Consider the following 18,642-nt stretch of genomic DNA (forward strand, 5'->3'; position numbering starts at 1 on the left):
CCACAGGGCTTGCTTTAGAAGCTGCTTCAAAGAGAGGTGATGCTGTTCTGAGGTTGGGCCTTACTCTGGGTCCTTCAAACATAGTGAGTGAGATAGAAGTTTCTGGAAGCCTAAAGATTAGGCCAGTCAAAGGCTTACGCATTCTATATTCCCATCAAAGACATTGCCAAGCAGCAGTGAGTTAACCTGCTCATTCACTGCAGGGGAGGTGACTCGAATGTATCTGCAGCTCTGGACCCTGGAGCTGGGACTAGCCTCCAACCCACAGCCACACAGCCTGAAACGATCAGGAACCCCCTTCAAGGGAGGCAGTGTCCAGGCCCCTTTTATTGCCTCCCCTGGGGTGAAATGACAGGCTGGGGTGATCCTAGGTCACAACTCTGTCATCTCATATGGCCCCCAGTGGCCCGGGCCCTCTTTGTTTCTAACAGAAATACCAGACAGTGAGCTTGCGTCATTTCTGGATTTTAAAAAAGTCTTTTCCTAGGAATTTTTCCAGGCTTGCCTGTTCTCTCCGTTTGTGATGTGCGGCACACACGACTTATTTTTAGCAAACGGTTCTGCAGATCTGAGAGTGGCTTATGGAAAGACACTGAACAGTGTCCTGCTAATCCCAGTGTTTCTACAAGTGAAACGGGGTGGGGGTAATCATTGTTTGGTGGTGGCAGGGGGAGTTCTGCCAAGGCCTGGCCATCTAGGGTGCCTTTGGTTTGGGGAAATCTCTCGATGAGCACGGTGCAGTGACTGTTCCACCCCCGCCTGTGACGGGGAGAGGCAGCTGCTATGGGGTGCGGTGTGGAGAGGCCCCCCAGCCTGGCTGTCAGTCCGGCACCGGGGTAAAGGGACATGAGCATGGGGCTGTGACGAACGTGGGTTTGTGCCCTGGCTCACTCACTTTCTGCTGTGTGATCGTGGGCGAGTGGCCTGACTTGCCCGAGCCTCCATTCCTTCCTCTGTGAAACGGGAAGAATAATAGTCTCTACTGCATTGGTGGACCTGGGGATTAAATGGGGTCATGGAAGCCCACAGCCCATTCAGTAAGGGGTTGCAATTATGAGTGGCTTTGGGGGTCACACATCACCCTTCTGTGGGTCAGGCCAGCCAGGCCTCAACTGGCCCTGACCTGCTGCCCTTTATCTCTGACCTGCAGTGTAATGTCCCCGAAGGAGGGCTGGTCCCCAAGTCCCTCTACATGACAGAAGAGGAGCAGGAGCACACGGACCAGCTGTGGCAGTGGAGTGAGACCTACCATTCAGCCAGCGTGCTCCGCGGAGCCCCCCACGAGGTGCCAGGGCCTGGCCGGGGAGGGCCCGCTGAGCTGGAGTGTCTGTCGTCTTAGGTCAGGTGACCCCAAAACACAGCTTGAGATGAGGATTCTTTTTTCTTTTCTTTCTTTCTTTCTTTCTTTTTTTTTTTTTTTTTGGGATGGAGTCTCGCTCTGTTGCCCAGGCTGGAGTGCAGTGGTGCAATCTTGGCTCACTGCAACCTCCACCTCCCAGGTTCAAGCAATTCTCATGCCTCAGCCTCCCGAGTAGCTGGGATTATAGACATATGCCACTGCGTCCAGCTAATTTTTGTATTTTTAGTAGAGACGGGTTTTCGTCATGTTGGTCAGGCTGGTCTTGAAATCCTGAGGTCAGGTGATCCGCCCGCCTAGGCCTCCCAAAGTTCTGGGATTATAGGCGGGAGCCACGGCGCCTGGCCTCTTTTTTTTTTTTTTTTTTGAGACCGAGTCTCACTCTGTCACCAAGGCTGGAGTGCAGTGGCGCAATGTTGGCTCACTGCAACTTCTGCCTCCCAGGTTCAAGTGATTCTTCTGCCTCAGCCTCCCGAGTAGCTGGGATTACAGGTGCCAGCCAGCATGCCTGGCTATTTTTTTTTTGTTTGTATTTTTAGTAGAGATGGGGTTTCACCATGTTGGCCAGACTGGTCTCGAACTCCTGACCTCAAGTGATCCACCCACCTCGGCCTCCCAAAGTGTTGGGATTATAGGCATGAGCCACCAAGCCTGGCCGAGATAAGGATTCTTATGCCAGTGATCTGTTGCAGGCGAGGTCTCAGGAGAAAACTGAGGAGAGGAGGGCACTCCTGTAAGGAATGAGCGTGTGCCTGGGAAAGGAGACCCCAGGGGGCACCCACAGCCCCTCCTGCCACTGTGTTCCCCACCCCAGCTCTACTCTCTCGGCCGTGACTCTCAGACCTCGCCTGTCTCCACACAGGTGGCCGTGGAGATCCTGGAAGGAGAGTCGGTCATCACCTGGGACTTTGACATCCTGCGAGGGGACGTGGTGTTCAGCCTGTACCACACCAAGCAGGCGCCCAGGCTGGGCGCCCGGGAACCGGGGACCAGGGCCAGCGGGCAGCTGATCGACAAAGGCTGGGTCCTGGGCAGGGATTACAGCCGTGTGGAGGCTCCCCTTGTCTGCCGGGAGGGGGAGAGCATCCAGGTTTGCATTTTCTGGACCACTCATTCGCTCACCAAGCAGCACTGAGTGTCCACTGCGTGCCAGGCTTCTGGGGATACAGCGGAGGACATACTGGGCTGCTGGTCCCCAGCCTCAGGGACCCTGCAGGACAGGGCAGAGGAAAGACACACAGGGTCTCATGTAATGAAGTGCTCACCTGCCCAATGGCAGCCGGTGCAAAATCGAGAAAGCACGGGGTGCTCTGCTGAGAGGTGGCTGGTGTCTTGGGGAGGAGCACAGGGTCTGGAACCTGAGTTTCCCCATCTGGGAAATGGGACTTCTAACAGGATCCAACTGTATTTGTTTCTTGGGGCTGCAGTAATGAGTTACCACAAACTACATGGCCTAAAACAACAAAAATTTATTGTCTCACAGTTCAGGAGTTCACAAGTCCAAAACCAAGGTGTTGGCAGGGCCACGCTCCCTCTGAAGGCTGTAGGGAGGGGTTCATTCTATGCCTCTGTCCTAGCCTTAGGTAACTCCTGGCAATCCTGGGTGTCATTGGTGGGTAGATGCATCACCCCAATCTCTGCCTCTGTCTTTAAAGGGGTTTCTTCTCTGTCTGTCTCTCTTCTGAGTCTCAAATCTCCCTCCCCTCTCTCCTGTAAGGACACTAGCCATCACAGTTAGGCCCCATCTTAAATCCTGTTTTTTTTTGAGACAGGGTCTCACTCTATCCATGATCAGGAAACTTTTGCGGGACTGGGAATGTAGTGATATGATCACAGCTCACTACAGCCTCTACCTCCTAGGCTCAAGCGATCCTCCCATCTCAGCCTTCTGAGTAGCTGGGACTACAGGTTCCCGCCACCATGTCCAACTAACTTTTGTATTTTTTGTAGAGATGGGGTCTTGCTATGTTGCCCAGGATGATCTTGAATGCCTGAGCTCAAGCGATCCTCCTGCTTCAGCCTCCCAAAGTGCTGGGATTAGAGGCGTGAGCCACCATGGCTGGCCTCACCCTAAATCCTTAACCACAAAGACTCTATTTCCAGATAAGGTCACGTTCTGAGGTTCTGGCTGGACATGAATTTTGGGGGTACACTGTTCAACCCACTGCATTAACTCAAGCAGGGGGAAGGATGAGCATATTGGAATTTGAAGTTCAGGTTGCCTGCATACATTCAAGTGGCTTCAGTATGGACGAAGACCTTGAGTTGTGGCTGGATCTGGGAGGGGGTGAGAGGGGATGATGTTCCAGGTGGAAGGAACAGAAAGAACAAAATTGAAGCCGCAGGGAGAAGGCAGGTGGACACGAGGGTAGCTTGAGTGCTGGGGAGGGGTTGGAAGTTAGTTTGGATAGAAGGGGAGGTGCTAAGGTCCTGAGGTCAGTAGTCAGATTTCTGATGTGCACTGTGGTTTCAGAACTGATGCAAAAGAAACTGTAGGTCTTGGGCCGGGTGCGGTGGCTCATGCCTATAATCCCAGCACTCTGGGAGGCCGAGGCAGGTGAATCATCTGAAGTCAGGAGTTCGAGACCAGCCTGGCCAACATGGTGAAACTCCGTCTCTACTAAAAATACAAAAAAAAAAAAAAAAAAAAAAAAAAAAAGCGAGGTGTGGTGGCGGGTGCCTGTAATCCCAGCTACTCGGGAGGCTAAGGCAGGAGAATCGCTTGAACCTAGGAGGCAGAGGTTGCAGTGAGCTGAGATCATGCCATTATACTCTAGTCTGAGTGAAAGAGTGAAACTCCGTCTCAGAAAAAAAAAACAAAACTGTAGTCTTGGAACAGAACTTGAACGTGTAACTGGAATATGAGCTGCCCCTGTTGATCCCCACATTCTCCAGGAGGCTGGCATTGCAGGTGGAATGTCACTCTCTGACTCCCGAAATGACACATGCACACACGCAGCACCAGCTCCACGAGCACTGGCAGTTGCTGTCGATCTCACCGAAGTTCCCGGTGGGGAGAGGGTGGAGGGCCGTCCTGCATGTCCCTCACAGCCACTGCTGGGTCCCACTGAACTTCTCAACCCAGAGCAACCCAAAGTGGCTCTTCTTGTAAAAACAAACACTTCCCTTTCTCACTCTCCCTGATCCCTCCACAAATTCTCTCTAAGCACCTGTGAGCTCCCGGCCCAAATCCCTTTCCTAATCCCCTTGGTTTGCAAATCCCACTCAGCAGAGCAAAAGCCCCACAAAATCCAGGTGTTTAAGCACCTCTGTTGTCCTGAAGTTGCACCCCCACCCCCAGGCGTCAGCTCCTCCCCAGATTAAGAGGGAGGCTCTGGTCCCAGGGATATGGGGATAATAGCAAGGATGGCTTCCAGAGGCCCTGACAGGAGGAGTTGCTGGTGGACTGGAGAAAGGGACAGAGGGAGAAGAGCCCCAATTTCCAGGCCTGGTGATGAGAAGCCCATGAAGGCTCAGCCTCCTTGACCTGTCCTCTGGAGGGCGCAGGGCCTCAGGGCAGGGCTGATGTGTTTCAGGGCTCCCATGTGACCCGGTGGCCCGGCGTCTACCTGCTCCAGTGGCAAATGCACAGCCCCCCCAGCAGCGTGGCCTGCAGCCTCCCGGGTGTGGACGATGTCCTGACGGCTCTGCACAGCCCCGGGCCCAAGTGCAAACTTCTCTACTACTGTGAGGTGCTCGCCTCTGAGGACTTCAGGTAGGAGGGCTCCGGAGCGGGGTCCTGGGCAGGAAGGACCCTGGGGCTGATTGACAATGCAGATGCCTGGCCTCCTGTCTCCCAGCTGGGTCAGCTTCTCCCGGGGTGGGACCCCAGCATGGGTATGGTTGGAGTTCTCAGGTGACACAGCCCCGCACTAGGGTGTGAGGAGAGCCCAGCTCTGCGCGTCTAACTCTGCTTCCGAAGCAGGGATTTTCCTTCAAATGAAACCTTGGGCAGAAGCTCAACTTTTTGGAGCAGTTGGAGGGGAGGAGAAGGGGAGTCTTAAACCCTTCCATGTGGGCTTCCCCTCACTCCTAGAATTCCATGGGAATATTTTAGAATATTCTAAAAGGGTGCTTTTTAGACAACCCTCCCCAAGTTGTTGCTTTCAGAGAGACAGGGAACTGTAATGGTTAAGACCTCCAGCACTTCCTGGTTGCTGTGTGACCTCGGGCAAATCACTTTTCCTCTTTGAGCCTCAGGTGCTTCATCCCTTAAATGGGAACCACTGGAGCCCCAGTCTTGTGGGTTTGTCATGAGGATGAGATGGCTGGGGGAAGCTGCCTGTCACCTGGGCATGCGGTGTGCATGCCACAGCAGAAATGAAGGAGAAGGTCTGGAGGCGGAGCAGGCAGTTTCTTCAAGGTTTTGCATTCTGTAAAAGCACTTATGATTTTGCACCCTGCTTCATGATGGATCTGCACTGGTTTTCATCTAAAAATGATGCTTTAAATTCTTTCCCGTGGGGGTAAAATTAAGGCTCAAGGAAGGTGCTGAGTCTAGACCTCAAATTCCAGGTGGAGCTCCAAGGATCCCAGGAGCATGGGCACCCAGAGTGAAGAACACTGGGGCAGAGTCTTTATCCAAGGAGGGGTCCCATAGTTTGTCAGGGGGCTGGCGATTCACTCTTTGTGAAGCTGCATGTTTTGGCCATCGGTCCTCAGTGTGAGGCGACAGGCTGAGGCCCAGGGGGACACAGAGGAATAGACACAGGCATTGGAAGGTTGTCTCTGGGAGGGCTGATTCTGAGGCCGGGCATGTGGAGGCCAGAGGGGTGGGCTGGGCCAGACGCTGCACACCAACCTGTCAAGGGTGGTCACCATGAGAGGACCTTACTGCCCTGTCCTCTTGTAGCCTCATGAGAAAATCAGTTCAAAGGCTGTTTCCTGGTCGCCCTCAGGGGGCAGGTGGTGGCTCGGATCGTGGGGGGACCACACAGATAGGGTCTGCCATCATGAAGCAGAGACCAAAGGCTCACACCCAAGTATAACTATGGGCAGCGATGGATGCCATGGCCAAGGCCACTGTGTTAGTCCGTTTCCACACTGTGAGAAAGAACTACCTGAGGCCGGGTGTGGTGGCTCACGCCTGTAATCCCAGCACTTTGGGAAGCCGAGGTGGGTGGATCATCTGTGGTCAAGAGTTTGAGACCAGCCTAGCCAACATGGCGAAACCCCGTCTTTACTAAAAATACAAAAATTAGCCGGGCATGCCTATAATCCCAGCTACTCAGGAGGCTGAAGCAGGAGAATGCCTTGAACCCAGGAGGTGGAGATTGCAGTGAGCTGAGATCGCGCCACTGCACTTCAGCCTTGGCGACAGAGCGAGACTGTCTCAAAAAGAAAAAGGAAAAAAAAAAAACCTACCTGAGACTGGGTAATTTATAAAGAAAGGAGGTTTAATTGACTCACGGTTCTGCATGACTGGGGAAGCCTCAGGAAACTTACTATCATGGCGGAAGGCAAAGGGTCAGGAGAGAGAGAGAGCAGAGGAAGCCACACACTTTTACACCATCAGACCTCATGAGAACTCATTCACTATCGCAAGAAGACCATGGGGGAAACTGCCCCCATGATCCAATCACCTCCCACCAGATCCCTCCCTCAACACTTGGGGATTACAATTTGAGATGAGATTTACTTGGGCCATAGAGCCAAACCGTATCAGCCACCCAGCCAGGAGGTGCTCAGGGACGTAACCTAGAGCCTTGCCAGAGCACAGGACGGGCCTGGCCTAGGGTTGGGAGAGAGGGTGGGGGAAGTAATATGGAACGTGACACTGGACTGAGATCTAAGTAGTGTGGTGGTCACACAAGTCACCAGGGGGTCTTTTTATTTATTTATTTTTGGAGACAGAGTCTCGCTCTGTTACCCAGGCTGGAGTGCAGTGGTGCAATCCTAGCTTACTGTAGCCTTGAACTCCCGGGCTCAAGCAATCCTCCAACCTCAGCTTCCCAAGTAGCTGGGACTATAGGCATGGGCTAGCTTGCCTGGCTTTTTTTTTTTTTTTTTTTTTTTTTGGAGACAGGGTTTCACTCTGTCACCCAGGCTGGAGTACAGTGGCACGATATCTACTCACTGCAACCTCCGCCTCCTGGGTTCAAGCAATCCTCATGCCTCAGCCTCCTGAGTAGCTGGGATTACAGGTGCGTACCACCACCCCTGGCTAATTTTTATATTTTTAGTGGAGACAGGTTTCGCCATGTTAGCCAGGCTGGTGTCGAACTCCTGGCCTCAAGCAATCCACCCACTTCGGCCTCCCAAAGGGCTGGGATTACAGGCATGAGCCACTGTGCCTGGCCACTTTTAAAATTTTTTGTAGAGATGGGGTCTCACTATTTTGCCCAGGCTGGTCTCAAACTCCTGGCCTCAAGCGATCCCCCTGCCTCAGCCTTTCAAAGTGTTGGGATGACAGGCGTAAGCCATGGCACCTGGCGAGGTTCTGCATCTCTAACAAGCTCCGGGCACTGCTGGTGCTGCCAGTTCCCAGACCATGCTTTGAGTAGCAAGGCCCTAAAGCTGCACTGTCCTATCTGGTCGCTGCTAGTCACCTGCAGCAATTTAACTTAGCAAGGAGAATGAAATAAAAGGAACAATTCAGTGCCTCAGTCGCATGGGCCACATTTCAAGTGATGAGCAGCCCATGTGGCCAGTGGCTGGTGTGTTGGACTGTGCAGGTGTACAGCACGTTCATCGCAGGAAGTTCTTGGAGGGTGGGCATGGTGCCTCACGCCTGTAATCCAAGTGCTTTGGGAGGCCGAGTCACGAGGATCTCCTGATCCCAGGAGTTTGAGACCAGCCTGGGCAGCATAGTGAGAGCCCCGTCTCTATACAAGAAAAGAAAGTTCTCGAGGATGGCGCTGCCCTGAGGTTTGGAGTAGGAGTTAACCAGACAGCTGGGGGAGGAGAGAATGGGCTTCTGCCTCAGGCTCAGCGCACACGAAGGCCACTGCAAGAGCTAGGAGGAGGACCATGGAATTTGAGTGCAAAGAGTAAGGAGGGAGTGAGACTGGAGACAGGGCCGGGGACTCCCTGGGCTGTGGCGGCCTTAGGGCCATGCAAGGGCCTCAGGCCAGGGGAGCCCCTGATGGGTCTGTGGCAGGCTGGGCTCCATCTGGGGAGATGGGAGTGTGGGGAATTCGGTAGTGCTTTTCTCTTCATGGCGTCACTTGCTTTTCCCTTTGCATCGGCCTGGGGCCCTGGGGCCTGATTTGCAGCATCAACAGCTTTTCCACTGCTGTGTGTCAGCCCAAGGGCCTTGTCACTGTGAGAGGGTAACGTGTGCCACGCCCTTCCTCCCCAGGGGCTCCATGTCCAGCCTGGAATCCTGCACCAGCGGCTTCTCCCAGCTCAGCGCCGCCACCTCGTCCTCCTCCTCCGGCCAGTCTCATAGCAGCTCCCTGGTCTCCAGATAGCCGGGCCCAGTGTTTCAGGGCCGCCCGCTCGCCTCCAGTGTCCAGAAATGTCCAGAATGAGAAGCCAGCTAACTGCAGGGCCTGGGACCATGTGGGCTGGAGCCCCAGGCCTAGATGCTGCCCAAGTTGGGGTGTCTGGAGCGGATGGCAAGGATCCAGAACTGGCCTGTGGGTGGTGTCAGGGCTCTTGAAATTGCAAGGACAGAACCATCTCCTTCCGGCTTCGTGTAAGGAAGACCAAGCCAAGGCCAAGGTGTCTACCATACCACACCTTTGGGACATCCGGGCTTAGCGACGTCAGCCAGGCCCATCTCCTCTCTGTCCACCTCTTGCTCTGCTTTCGCCATGCAGGGGACCATCACTATCAGGTGCCCTTCTCCTCCCTGCAGCTTGCCTGCATAAGAGAGCCTCTTCCTCCCAAAGGCTCCAGCCCACTTCCCAGAGCTGAGTCTTAGCCTGGAAGGGGGAGCGATTGCCAGGTCAATTCCTGAACCAATCACAGTTGCCAGGCACACTGGAGAATGCTGATTGGCCAGCAGGGTCATGCCCAATCTGGACCAATCACCGTGATCCAGGGTTGCAGTGAGGTGCAGTGATTGGCCAGCCTGGATCACATGCACATCTCTGGAACCAACCACCTGCTCTCAAAAGCACTAGTGGGTGCCTCGAGGAGTACTGGGGTCCCCCCTAAGAAGAAGGAGGAAGGATGCTGGGGAGGCAGAAATGAAGGGTGTTTACCTTGGCATCTGATTGCATAACGTTCTGTTATGCAGTATCAAGATGTGCTTGGTGAGCAGTTAAGTGAGTTACAGGCGCTGCTCTTTGTGGGGAACAGCACATCCTGAAGTGAAAATCCATGTTCCCTGCACTTGGCCAGCATGGCCTAAGCCTGACCATCCCTGATTGGAGAGGGTGGGAGAGCCCTGGGTTTCTGCTAAGTTCCAGGCAGTGATGGGGTGACTGAGGCTGTCTGTATACCCCACTGGAGATGCCTTTCTCTCCTAGGGAACTGTTTAATTATGACTGTTTTTGGTTGTAAGCCACAGAGACCCATGCCCAGGTGCTTCAACACAAAAGCATGATCATTCATGGGTGCATAGAACTGGCCAGTCCAGGAGGGCTTGCTTCAGGTAAGGCTAGATCCAGGGTCTCAACATGGAGTCTCGATTCCCCCCGCGAGTGGAGGCTGCTGTGTTTGCCCTGGGGCAGATATGACTCTGGAACTAGGTTCAATATTGACATGAGTTCCCCTAGTTACTACACAGGAGCGTCTTGGGTCTCCTTGGGGCCTGAGGACATTTCTCCTTTCCTTTCCTGGACTCCCCAAAAGGCAGCCAGTCAGGGGTCACCAACTTGAAGCCTGATCTGGCCTGCTTTTAGTGTTGCTTTTTTGCCTTTAGAATGGTTTAAAAATTGAGGCATTTCGCATCGAAATCAGGATTTCTGGCTTCCCTTAGGCATTTGGGAGCACCAGCAGAATGGGGTCACTATTGTTGCATGAAGACAACACCTCTGCACCCCTGGATGTGGCCACGCCAGTCCCTACCCCATTGACTTGCGCCCAGCCCACATTACACATCCTCATGACCTGCGTGGCAGGAGTCTCACTGACATGGCTCTGTCAGCAGTGGCTGGTACCCTTGTCTCCTGGCCTTGCTTAGAGTTGGGGCTCATCTCTGCTGCAGTAACTGAGCCAAGGGGTGGTTTTGTGGCCACAAGAATCATCTTTATGCAGGCTCAGCAATGCAGGGCCAGGAAACTTATATCTACGCCAGCCTCAACCCCAAACCCAAGGAAGAGAGAAAGTGTCATCTTTTCAGATACATCCTTCTTCCTGCTGGGAGAGAGCCTTGCCCACCTTCCTGTTGGCTCTCTGTCCGCTTCTCAGGTATCTGAACAAAATAGATTGCTTTGCACTCTGCGTCAAGGTGTGTGTGCACATGTGTGCATAAGAGACCGACTGATTGGAAGGAGACGTTCTCAAAACTAATTGCTCCCATATCACCAGGCATTTATTGCTGAGAGCAACTTGCAATATTTTCAACTATCTTTAAGTGAATTTCTAGCTTTTCTCTTAAAAACTAGGTGTTATCCTACAAGTATGCTGGGATAAGCTGCCCTGGCAGTCTTTATACATTTATTGTCTAGCCCCAGAGAAGGACACAGAAGCCTTTTACGGAAGGAAGCTGGAACTGCCTGTTCCAGAGGCGGGTGGGGGGAGGGGAGTCTGCTATCAGCTGTCCACCCTTAACAGTGGGGGTGAGGAACCTCAGGCCCTTTCAGTTCTGCTCTTGAGAGTGCTCTCTCCCTAGGGAAAACCAGCCCAAACTGGCTTAAGCAACAAAGCAAATTCCCTGGGTCCTGTACTAGGGATGGCTGAAGGTGGGTGCTGCTTCAGATATGGCTGGATCCAGGAGCTTAATGTCCTCAGGCCTCTCAACTGCACCCAGGCCTCTTGACTCTGCATCTCTTTGCATGCTGACCTCATTCTTTCTTCCACCTGGCGGGAAAGATGGCTGCCAGCAGCCCCAAGCCTATAATTTCAGGATTCACACTCTAAGAGATGCTTTTCCATCTCAAATCTCATGGAAGGCTCTGATTGGCCCAGCTCGAGTCACATGCTTATTCCTGTGGGCCACACTGGCAAGGAACTAGGGTCCCGTGATTGACATTCCCTGCAGAAGCCGCAGCAGGATTGGGGAGGGCCATTCCCCCAATGGACAAGAGAAGCTGGACCACAGAACCAGCAGGTATCCATGGTGGCATCTGCTACGGCCGGCTCTCCTCCCATGTGGAGGTCTCGGGGACCCACGTGGAAGCATTATCAAGGTCATTCTTCTTGCCTTCGGGAGGACTGGAATTAAAAATAATCCAAGGAAGGGATTGCCAAGCTTTTGGCTTTTGAATTTCCCCTGAGCCACAAAGGCTGGAAGTGCCTTGGCTTGGGCTTCTTGCATCATTAGTTCATTAATCCATTGTGACCAGGACAGAAGCAACCCACAAGCAGCATTACTGTTGGTGTTTGGGCACCTGGGCCTTGAATTTAGGCCAGGACTCAAACCCCAGCCTTCCTTTCACTAGCTGTGTAACCTTGACCAGGTGACTTAACCTCTCTGTGCCTCAGTTTCCTCATCTGTAAAGTGAGGATAGCAGTGCCTACCTCAATAGGTTGTAGTGGGACGAAATGAGGGAGTAGCTGTAAAGCTTTCAGCACAGCTCCCAGAACACAGAAAGCGCTCCATTAATGTCAGTGGTCATTCTGATTACTTAATGCTTCGCATCCAAAGACTCGTTTTCTTCCTGAGGTCGCCTATCCCTGTTTTTCGTTATTGCACCCAGAGAAAAGTAGGTGTCAAGAATTATTGCCCTCTGAGTTGGGTGTGCAGTCTTTCTCTTTTAGAAACTGCTTGTGTGGGCGGGGCGTGGTGGCTCATGCCTATAATCCCAACACTTTGGGAGGCTGAGGCCGGCTGATCGCTTGAGTGCAGGAGTTCAAGACCAGCCTGGGCAACATAGTGAGACCCTGTCTCTACAAAAAATTAAAAAATGAGCCAGGCGTGGTGGTGCGTGCCTATAGTCTCAGCTGCTCGGGAGGCTGAGGCAGAAGGATTGCTTGGAGGTCAAGGCTGGAGTGAGCCATGATCTCACCCCTGTACTTCATCCTGGGTGACAAAGCAAGACCCTGTCTCAAAAAAAGAAGAAAGAAGCTGCTTGTGTTTTCTGGGTAAGTCCACCCATCTGAGGGAGTGTATTCTGAGTGGTATTTCCCTTGGCAGTTAGAAAATGTTTTTTCCCAGAGGTTGAAGTATGGAGAGTTTGAGACTCTTTTTTTCTACCCTGCACTCTCTGGAATTCCCCCTCCCTGCTGTAAAATTTATTGTCCAATGAGAATAGTATAATTGTTTTCAACAAAGTCTCTTTGAGCCAGTGAAACACGATGGGTTTTTTTGTTTGCCTGATCACTTGCTCCAACCAGCAGCATTAAATGTTTTCCATTTGGATAAACTTGCATCGTCAGCTTCCTAAAACCCTGGAGGTTTCCCGTGGGCTCGTTCAAGAACTTTCCAGCTGTTGTTTAAAAGACTTTAGAGCTAGCTTGTTCAGCCTGTGGCCTGCAGGCTGCACGCGGCCCCGGACTGCTTTGAATGTGCTCCAACACGAGTTCGTAAACTTTCTTAAAATACTGAGGTTTTTTGTGTGTGTGTTTTCTTTGTTTTTTCAGCTCATCAGCTATCATTAGTGTATTTTATGTGTGGCCCAAGACAATTCTTCTTGTTCCAATGTGGTCCAGGGAAGCCAAAAGATTGGACACCCTTGCTTTAGAGCATTTGCAACCGGAGTGATATCACCCCCAAGGGGCTGCATATCTGTTTAATGCAGGTATAATTGTGTATCATATATATTGTATACATATGTAATGGATTGGATAGCATGTCCCCAAATTCATGTCCACCTAGAACCTTAGAATGTGACCTCATTTGGAAATAAGGTTTTTGCAGGTGTAATTAGTTAAGGTTCTCAAGATTGGTTATTGGGCCGTGTGAGGGAGGATCACAATTTTTATATATAAAGCAGAAATAGGCCAGGCGCAGTGGCTCACGCCTGTAATCCCAGCACTTTGGGAGGCCGAGGCGGGTGGATCACAAGGTCAGGAGATTGAGACCATCTGGCTAACATGGTGAAACCCCGTCTCTACTAAAAAATACAAAAAATTAGCCGGGCATGGTGGCGGGCGCCTGTAGTCCTAGCTACTCGGGAGGCTGAGGCAGGAGAATGCCGTGAACCCGGGAGGCGGAGCTTGCAGTGAGCCAAGATTATGTCACTGCACTCCAGCCTGGGTGACAGAGTGAGACTCCGTCTCAAAACAACAACAACAGCAACAACAACAACAGGAATGTTCTGGAGGCTGGAAGTCCGGAATCACCATGGAGGTAGGGCCCTGCTCCTTCTGAAGGCTGTAGGGGAGGACCCTTCCTTGCCTCTTCCAGTGTCTAGTGGCACCTCGTGGCTTGTGGTTGCATCACTCCAGTCTCTGCCTCCATCATCATATGGCCTTCCTCTCTCTCTGTGTCTCCTCTTCTTGTAGGGATGCCAGTCATTGGATTTAGGACCCATCCTAAGTCCAGTATAACGTCTTGAGATCCTTAACTAATTCCACCTGCAAAGATCTTACTTCCAAGCGAGGTCACATTTTAAGGTTCCGGATGGACATGAATTTTGGGGCATGCTACTCAACTTATTATGTATGCATACAATAGCTAACCAGATACACAGTTATATCTGCATTAAACAGATATGAAAATCCCTGGTGCCCATCTCTCCTGGGCTGCCCTGCCCTCCCCCTGGGGTTTTACCAAAGTGCCAGACCTGGTGTCCTGGAGAGCTGCATCCCAAAACAGCCACAGTCCTGACGTCAGAAGGTTGTGATGAACCCTGTCCAGGGTGCCACCTGTCCTTCCCGTGAGCTCTCTTGGGGCACGGAGAGTGGAGCTGGCTGCCACACAGATCCTGGGACTCTGAAAAGCCTTCGTCGTTTTGGAGCTGGTGGCTGGGGTTGTCATTTGTGAGAGCAGAGCAGGTGTGGTGTTTTGTGTGATGGCACGAGGGCCATCTGTCCACCCAGCTTCTGCTCCCCAGCCCTGCCCAGCACAGCTCGTCAGGGGAGAGGAGGCGGCTTGCACTTGCGTGTGTTCATGGGCGGTGACTCTTCCGTGGATTTCTCTGGAACTGTGGGTGGCGGGTTTCAAAGGAACAGCCAGCTGACTCGTGGGTGCGGCGGGTATCGAGAAAGAACAGCCCTGTGGGGGAAGATGGAGCTCCGGAGGGTGGGCGGGAGCTGGGATCAGGCCTGAGCTGTGGGGCCCTGCTGATGCCTGTCTCAGCCACAGCGCTTTCCTTGGAGGCCTCCTGGGGCCTGGACCCAGAGCGAGCAAAACATGCCCAGGGCTCCCTGTGGCCCAGAGGCTGCCTCTGGGATCAGTTCTTGGGGCACAGACCCCTGGGACCTCTGCGGAGCCAGGTTGGACGCAAGCAGCTGCAGTGGGAGCTGGGGTAGGGCCTGGGAGGAAGGGAGCCCAGGGCCTCCAGGGATGTCAGAGGCTGTGGCTACCAACTTCTCCCTCTCACTTCCCTGCCTCCCTTAGTGCCCAGCCCCCAACAAGGCATTTTGGAGGAATGCGGATCCCCAAAAGTCACATTTTTTTTTGAGACAGGGTCTCACTCTGTCACCCAGGCTGGAGTGCGGTGGCATGATCATGGTTCACTGTAGCCTCAACCTGCCGGGCTCAAGCGACCCTCCCACCTCAGCCCCAAGTAGCTGGAACCACAGGTGTGCGCCACCATGCCTAATTCTTGTATTTTTTTGTAGCGGCGGGGCCATGTTGCCCAAGCTGGCAAAAAGCACAATTTGAAACCTCTAAGCCAGGATTTTTTTTTTTTTCCGGACACAGACTGCTTGGAGAATCCCATGAGAACTCAGGACACACACACGAATTTCATTTGTTTTGGGGCCCCAAAGAGTCCTTGAAAGCCCACCCATTGACGCCAGGATGGGAACCTTTCTGGGGTCTTTCCGAATACTAAAGTTCTGTGCAGAGCACCCCAGAAGCTGAGACGTGTCACCATGGCGATGGCCCAGCATGTGGAACTCTCAGGGTTCCCAGTTGAGCTGCAGAGACTTCAGTGTGCAGTCCAAGACCACCGTGCCTGTGCCTGGGGGTCTTGAGTCACTACTGTGGGTGGGGGAGGGGACCCTTATGCTGCTGGGATCGGAGCACATGAATCCCCAGCCGGCTTGCCTGCAGTTTGATGACTTTAGCTCTTGTATATTTGTGTCCCCACCAGCACCATAGGTTGGTACTGGAATCTCAGACACTTCTGCCTCCTGCTCCATGTCCTATCTAAGGTCTGCCGTCCAAAATCTAAATGCCTGAGTCCCAAAATGTGCCTCTCCTGTAACAATACAAGTGTCACACGTTTGGGTTGCCGGAGACCCCAAAACCCAATACAAATTGCCTCAAGCAAAAAATGGGAATTTATGGGTTCATGTAATTCGGAAGTCCAAGAATGATCTGGCTGGCTTCAGGTATAGCTGGATCCAGGCATTCAAATCATGTCCCCCCACCCCCACCCCAACACCCTCAGTCTAGTCGTTTTCCACACTGGCTCACCCGCTCCATCTCTTGGTTCTGATCAGGTCTTCTCCACACTGGAGAAGAGTTGGTTTCCGTTCCTCCTCCTTGTGGCCCACCTTGGCCCACCTTGTGGCCCTCCTTGTGTCTAACCTTGGAAGTTAGACAGTCCCAGCAGAGAGAGTTTCTTCTTCCAGCTGCAGCAGAAGTTCCACGATGGGCTCTGACGGGCTGACCCGGGGCAGGTGCCTAACTCTGGACCAATCTCTCAGGCCCACCTGCAACTTGGGGTGAGAAGACAGTGCCACCCAAACCACCTGGATGGAGAATGGGGGAGAGGTACTACCCTGATAGCAACACGCTAGAGGCTCACAGCCAGGGCTCCTGGGTTTTGGGGTCTCCGGCAACCCAAAACGTGTGACACTTGTACTGTTACAGGAGAGGCACATTTTGGGGCTCAGGCATTTAGATTTTGGACGGCAGACCTTAGATAGGACGTGGAGCAGGAGGCAGAAGTGGCCACCTCCCCGGGCACTCTCATTACCATGGAAGGCTTCAGGTCACAAGATGTTGCAACTTTCCCACAGCTCCCTGTGGTTGCCAGGGCACATTCGGTCTCTGGGTAGGGCAGACTGGCACTGCCAGGGAGTCAACCCCCAGGAGCGGCCCTCAACCAATGATGAATGGGTGTTGGCTGATAAATACCCCAGCTTCCTCGCCCTTGTGTGGTGCAACCAAGACCTGTTCTACCAACTGTCCCAGAGGCCCCCAGCAGGATTGAGCCCCTGTTGCCTACAGTATAGACTTGCTCACTCCTGCACTCTGCACAGGCTGCCTTCCCTCCCTGTCCTCTACCAGTGCTTCCTGGGGCCGCCTCCCCAATAAAGTACTTGCTCTCACCTCCTTGTCTTAGTTTCTGCATCTGGGGAATCCTAGCCTAAGACAGGGCTGTTGCTAGAAGAGAGACTGGATGTCGGGCAGGCAAAGAAAATCAATAACACAATGACAAATTAAAAAGAAATTACAGGCTGGGTGCGGCAGCTCATACCTGTAATCCCAGCACTTTGGGAGGCCCAGGCGGGTGGATCACTTTAGGCCAAGGGTTCGAGACCAGCCTGGCCAACATAGTGAAACCCCGCCTCTACTAAAAATACAAAAATTAGCCAGGCATGGTGGTGCATGCCTGAAATCCCAGCTACTTGGGAGGTTGAGGCATGAGAAACGCTTGAACCCGGGAGGCAGAGGTTGCAGTGAGCCGAGGTTGCACCATTGCACTCCAGCCTGGGGAACAAAATGAGACTGTCTCAAAAAAAAAAAAAAAAAAAATTCCAGGGGCCACAGGACTCACACCGCTTGGCATGTTTGAGTCACCTGACCTGGGACCCCTCTAACTTTGCTGTGACAGGCCCTCTTCAGGTACTGCTGCCTCTGGGCCTGGATTCCAGTGCACAGGACTGTCACTTTTCCAACTTAGCCGCCAGCACAACAGAGATGTCCCCTCAGAGGTCATGGTTCTCAGGCCAAGGGTCATTTCAGGATGGTCATCATGGCCATCATCGTGGCCGTGGCGTCAGACTGAGAGTGATCCCTGTAGATTCCAGGATCTGCAGCCAGGCTTGGGAACTGCTCTTAGGAATACACCTGAATGACTCTAAGGCGCCTGACTTTGCAGCTCCTTTTTAAGAGGCAGAGCCCGTTTCCCTTCTCCCTGAATCTGAGCTGGCCTGGTGACTTGTGCAGGCGCCCACCAGGGCTGCCAGATCTTTAAAGAGAAACCAGCAAGCTGGAATTTTTGTCAATCTCTGGACTTTTTGAGATGGAGTCTTGCTCTGTTGCCCAGGCTGGAGTGCAGCGGTGCGATCTCAGTTCACTGCAACCTCCACCTTCCGGGTTCAAGCGATTCTCCTGCCTCAGCCTCCTGAGTAACTGGATTACAGGCTCCCACCACCATGCCTGTTTTGTATTTTTAGTAGAGACGGGGTTTTGCCATGTTGGCCAGGCTAGTCTCGAACTCCTGACCTCAGGTGATCCGCCCACCTCAGCCTCCCAAAGTGCTGGGATTACAGGCGTGAGCCACTGCACCCCCGCCCTTATTTATTTTAAAATCTCTTGACTTTTAAACATGGGTAACTAATTTAAATTCTATAAAAATACTGTGAGGAAAAACTAAGCCCTGGTCATTCAAATTATGGTCAGGGGCCAGGCGCAGTGGCTCGAACCTGTAATCTCAGCACTTTGGGAGGCCATGGCAGGAGGTTGACTTGAGGCCAGGAGCTTGAGACCAGCCTGGGCAACTCAGTGACACCCCTTCTCTGCAAAAAAAATTTTAAAAATTAGCTGGGCATGGTGGCATGTGCCTATAGTCCCAGCTACTTGAGAGACTGAGGTGGGAGAATCACTTGAGCCCAGGAGGTCAAAATTGCAGTGAGCCGAGATCGTGCCATTGCACTCCAGCCAGGGCAACAGAGCGAGACCCTGTTTCTAAGAAAGACAAGAAGTGTGGTCTGGGGACCTGAAGCATCAGCATCGTCAGAGAGCTTGTTGGAAACGCAGAATTGCTGGCCTCACCCCAGGCCCAAATCTGCATTTTAACAAGATCTCCTCGTGACCTGTGGCATATTAAAGTTTGATAAGCACTGGATTAAACAAGCAGGGAACAGGACTTGGCTCCAGGATGCCGTTGTGACTTCTGTTTCAGGATAAGCCACACCTGCTAAGCCCTAGCAGTGACCTAAGTCCATGA

The 18,642-nt window shown here is 52.8% G+C and overlaps 1 protein-coding gene across 3 annotated transcripts in view, besides 2 other annotated features; it reads left to right on the forward strand.

Moving 5' to 3' along the window:
- The window catches only part of SEC14L5 (SEC14 like lipid binding 5), a 60,828-nt gene extending 47,872 nt beyond the window's left edge, over positions 1–12,956 (forward strand). For all 3 annotated transcript variants that reach the window (XM_024450497.2, XM_024450498.2, NM_014692.2), the window contains exons 13-16: positions 1,151–1,285; positions 2,220–2,447; positions 4,894–5,072; positions 8,658–12,956. In XM_024450497.2, the coding sequence (XP_024306265.1) occupies positions 1,151–1,285; positions 2,220–2,447; positions 4,894–5,072; positions 8,658–8,769 (654 nt within the window). In that variant the 3' untranslated portion in view covers positions 8,770–12,956. The remainder of the gene's footprint in view (positions 1–1,150; positions 1,286–2,219; positions 2,448–4,893; positions 5,073–8,657) is intronic.
- Positions 4,435–4,958: an enhancer, noted in NCBI's record as "H3K4me1 hESC enhancer chr16:5060637-5061160 (GRCh37/hg19 assembly coordinates)". NCBI's record gives its function as "activates a minimal SCP1, AML or CMV promoter by ChIP-STARR-seq in primed H9 embryonic stem cells {active_cell/tissue: H9 hESC(primed)}" and the evidence as "EXISTENCE:reporter gene assay evidence [ECO:0000049][PMID:30033119]".
- Positions 4,959–5,482: an enhancer, noted in NCBI's record as "H3K4me1 hESC enhancer chr16:5061161-5061684 (GRCh37/hg19 assembly coordinates)". NCBI's record gives its function as "activates a minimal SCP1, AML or CMV promoter by ChIP-STARR-seq in primed H9 embryonic stem cells {active_cell/tissue: H9 hESC(primed)}" and the evidence as "EXISTENCE:reporter gene assay evidence [ECO:0000049][PMID:30033119]".

This window comes from Homo sapiens, chromosome 16, assembly GCF_000001405.40.
Source record: "Homo sapiens chromosome 16, GRCh38.p14 Primary Assembly".
Classification (NCBI taxonomy): domain Eukaryota; kingdom Metazoa; phylum Chordata; class Mammalia; order Primates; family Hominidae; genus Homo; species Homo sapiens.